At 42.6% G+C, this 3,418-nt stretch overlaps 2 annotated features.

Annotated features, from left to right (window-relative positions):
* Nucleotides 608-657: an enhancer, noted in NCBI's record as "active region_24896". NCBI's record gives its function as "activates an Ori minimal core promoter by ATAC-STARR-seq in GM12878 lymphoblastoid cells {active_cell/tissue: GM12878}" and the evidence as "EXISTENCE:reporter gene assay evidence [ECO:0000049][PMID:35858748]".
* Nucleotides 2,288-2,347: an enhancer, noted in NCBI's record as "active region_24895". NCBI's record gives its function as "activates an Ori minimal core promoter by ATAC-STARR-seq in GM12878 lymphoblastoid cells {active_cell/tissue: GM12878}" and the evidence as "EXISTENCE:reporter gene assay evidence [ECO:0000049][PMID:35858748]".

The following is a 3,418-nucleotide window of genomic DNA, read 5'->3' as shown; positions in this document are numbered from 1 at the left end:
CAGTGCTGAAAAAAATTTTCCTTATATCTATGGTAACCTGTGGAGAACTGTGTGAAAGGACTCTCTGGGGCCTCTAGGCTTTCCCAGAAACCCAGTTACTTTAGGTTGGCTGTCCTCGTCACCTCTGCCCAGGAAAGGCCCGAGGCCTGACTAGGCCCCCAAGGAGCCAGCCCCCTCCCGAGGCACCTCCCTCCCAAGGAGACACATCCACGTGGCATGGAAACTTTTCGGTAAACACTCAAAAGTGAGAGCTGGTTCCCTTACCTTGGAGGGGACATTCAGGGATGGTAAGAGATAAGACGTTTCTAGGAAGAAAAGAAAGGGGAAGTGAGAAGATAAAAGTCTTCACATAAGAGGCAAATGAGAAAAGCATTTTCTGCCAAATTGTGAAAAGTGAAAGAAATGAAAGCAAGCTTGCTTTGGAGACAGAAATAAACACTAGGCAAAAAGAAACAACTTTTCCATAAAGCGTTTTGTAACAGTTAGGAAAAACTCAAAGGTAATCCATGATATTGGTCCAGGGATGCCTAGAACAAGGTCTGCTTAGGTGACTGGAAAAGACACTTGCCCCTGTGAAGAAATTTCAGAGGTACCAGGAAAGTTCCCTGACCCCCAAATGCCTCAACTGTTTGGTTCATGACCCGCACAAAGGCCTGAGGCTGAGAGGCTTGTGGGATAGAGACCCAGCTTGCTCTCCACTAGTTAACCTGTGTCCTACGGCTGCTTTCAGCAGGAGGAGGGGGGACACCTGTGTCAAGTGCTGTGTGTGCCCAGATGAGGCCTCTTTCTAATCTCTGCAAAGCTCTCCAATTCCAGAAAGACAATTCATAAAGAATGGGTCATCCCACCCATTTATTCTGGGCAGAACCACGAGACCAGGTTGCTGAAGGGGATCTTGAATCTACTCTGCAATTTTGCCCAGGGTGGGCCTGGAGCAGAGAAATGAGGAGAGAAGTTAAGCAATGGAAGCAAGAGCAGCTGGGGCCTGCCAGGACTGAGCTGAGGATGTTCATGATTGGCTTCCATTTGGAACTCAGCAAATGACTGAGGCTGCCCATGGCTTACCATTGAGAGAAGGCCACACCAAGGCCTGGGAACAGCCAGCTATGGGCAGATCAGGCCAGCACCTCCTAAACCAGCCTGTACCTCCACTTCTCTGTGCTGATTTTCCTTCTACTCTCTCTAATGCTTATTAAAGTTTCCCCAAGACTCTACCAGTTCCACTTATCAGAGCAACAGTGGGTATTGGGTCATGGTGGAGGCAAGGGGACACAGGATGAATTGAGGCTTGTAGGTACTGCTGGCTTTCCCTACTTGCAGAAGTTCCTCTGGAAATCATCATTATCATTATTATTTTTGTTCTTTTTTTTTTTTTTTTTTTGGAGAAAGGGTTTTGCTCTGTAGCCCAGGCTGGAGTGCAGTGCTGCAAACATGGCTCACTGCAGGCTTGACCTTCTGGGCTCAAGGGATCCTCCTGCCTTAGCCTCCCAAGTAGCTGGGACCACAGTTGTCAGCCACTATACCTGGCTAATTTCTTTGATTTTTGTAGACGGGGTCTTGCCGTATTGCTCAGGCTGGCCTCCATCTCCTGGGCTCAGGCAATCCTCCTGAGGCCTTGTCCTCCCAAAGTGCTGGGATTACAGGCACTTTTTATTAAGGGAGAGGCTATTTCAGCTCTCTTTTCAGACTGGAGAATGCCTTTTTCAGGGCTTTTTGATGGTGCTGTGCCACTGAATACTTCCAACTTGGAATAATCGTTGAGTGATGACTTTCCTCAAAGGTTTAAGAAAAACTACATTAAAATAAATAAGCAGGCCATGTGCAGTGGCTCATGCCTATAAATCCCATCACTTTGGGAAGCCAAGGTGGGAGGATCGCTTGAGCCCAGGAGTTCAAGACCAGCCTGGGCAAAAAAGCAAGACTTTTTCTCCTCACAAAATTTAAAAATTAGCCAGATGTGGTGGCACTCACCTATAGTACTAGCTACCTGGGAGGCTGAGGCAGGAAGATGGCTTGAACCCAGGAGTTCAAGGCTGCAGTGAGCTGTGATCATGACACTGCACTGCAGCCTGGGCAACGGAGCAAGACCCCGCCTCAAACAAAACAAACAAAACAACAAAAAAAACAAAAACTGGTTGGGAATGCCTACAATATTAGAAATACAGGAGTTATTATTTCTAGGTTCCTGGGTTGTAAGGCTTTCAATTTTTTTTCTACATGCTTTTCTTCATTTTCTAAAATGTAAATTAAAGATGTTTCCAATTCACTTTTCTGTCAGATTAAAACCCCAAGTTTTGCCTTTAAGGTTTCATTTCTAGAAGTGGTTCAGAATATAATGCTGAAGTTAGCTCAGTTACAGTAACTGGGGATTTCCTCTAGTCTCTGGCTGTTCATGTGGAAGTTGTGTTGTCATTTCTTTCCTTTTCTTTTCTTTTCTTAAGCCATCACAGTGACACCTGGCTATCTTGGCAAAGAAGAATAACAGGACAACTATTGTCTATCAAGAATTTTAGCCAGGATTTCCCCAGTCTGCTCCTCATTTTTGTGATTTTGTTGGTTCCTTTGATGAGAACTTTTTCTTGAGGTTTTAGGCAGACTTAATTTAAAGCATTGATCTCATCACACTTTTTTAGCTTCTGGTTAAAAATAGAACATCTCACGTAATTTCCAAGGAAAATCAGTTCTGTCAAATCTCATTGCTAATTCATAAAGGGCATTTGACTGTTCAAATAGAAGAGTATGGGAATCCAATGGATATTTCCGAAGTTACCATTTTTTAAAGGAATTTAACACCCCATCTTGGTCAGCCATGTGGATCTGAATCAGTTAAATTTAATCCAATGGAGATAAATTTGATTTTGCATGAATTAGAGCAGCATTTGCAAAAAAGCTCTTGACAGAATGTTTTATTCATATTCAGTACCAGCATCTTTTGCTTTTCTTTTAAGGTTGGTAAGAAAAGGATTTCAATCACACATTGTAGGCAAATGTCTTATGTGCTTTAATGTGTAAGGAGCATAAGTTGTTATTATGATAATGTTAATAAGACTTTTCATGTAGTACATTTTGGTTGACATTTAATCCCAATTGAGAAAAACCTAAAATTAATTTTTGTAAGAAACAAGACCAGAGTGGCTCATCAGGCTTAGAAGTGGGACTAATGGTACTATAATCAGACTGATGAGCTGTTAAATATCTGATGTGAAAACCATATCATGAAATGATAGGAAAGAATCTGCACAAAAGTCCTTTTGAATTTGCTCCTTGTCCTTTATTTTGCAGTTTGTTCAAAAGGCTTATTACCTCGGCTTCAAAACACAGATCCAAGATACTTACCAGCTGGTAACTTTTATTTGTTAATCAACTCAGCTTTCCTCAGAAAGATCCAAAGGGAGGGGAAAAATCATTTTTTTTTTAC

The sequence above is a fragment of the Homo sapiens genome, chromosome 6 (assembly GCF_000001405.40).
Source record: "Homo sapiens chromosome 6, GRCh38.p14 Primary Assembly".
Taxonomy (NCBI): domain Eukaryota; kingdom Metazoa; phylum Chordata; class Mammalia; order Primates; family Hominidae; genus Homo; species Homo sapiens.
The sequence above is the reverse complement of the archived record's forward strand: the minus strand, read 5'-3'. Positions and strand labels throughout refer to the sequence as shown.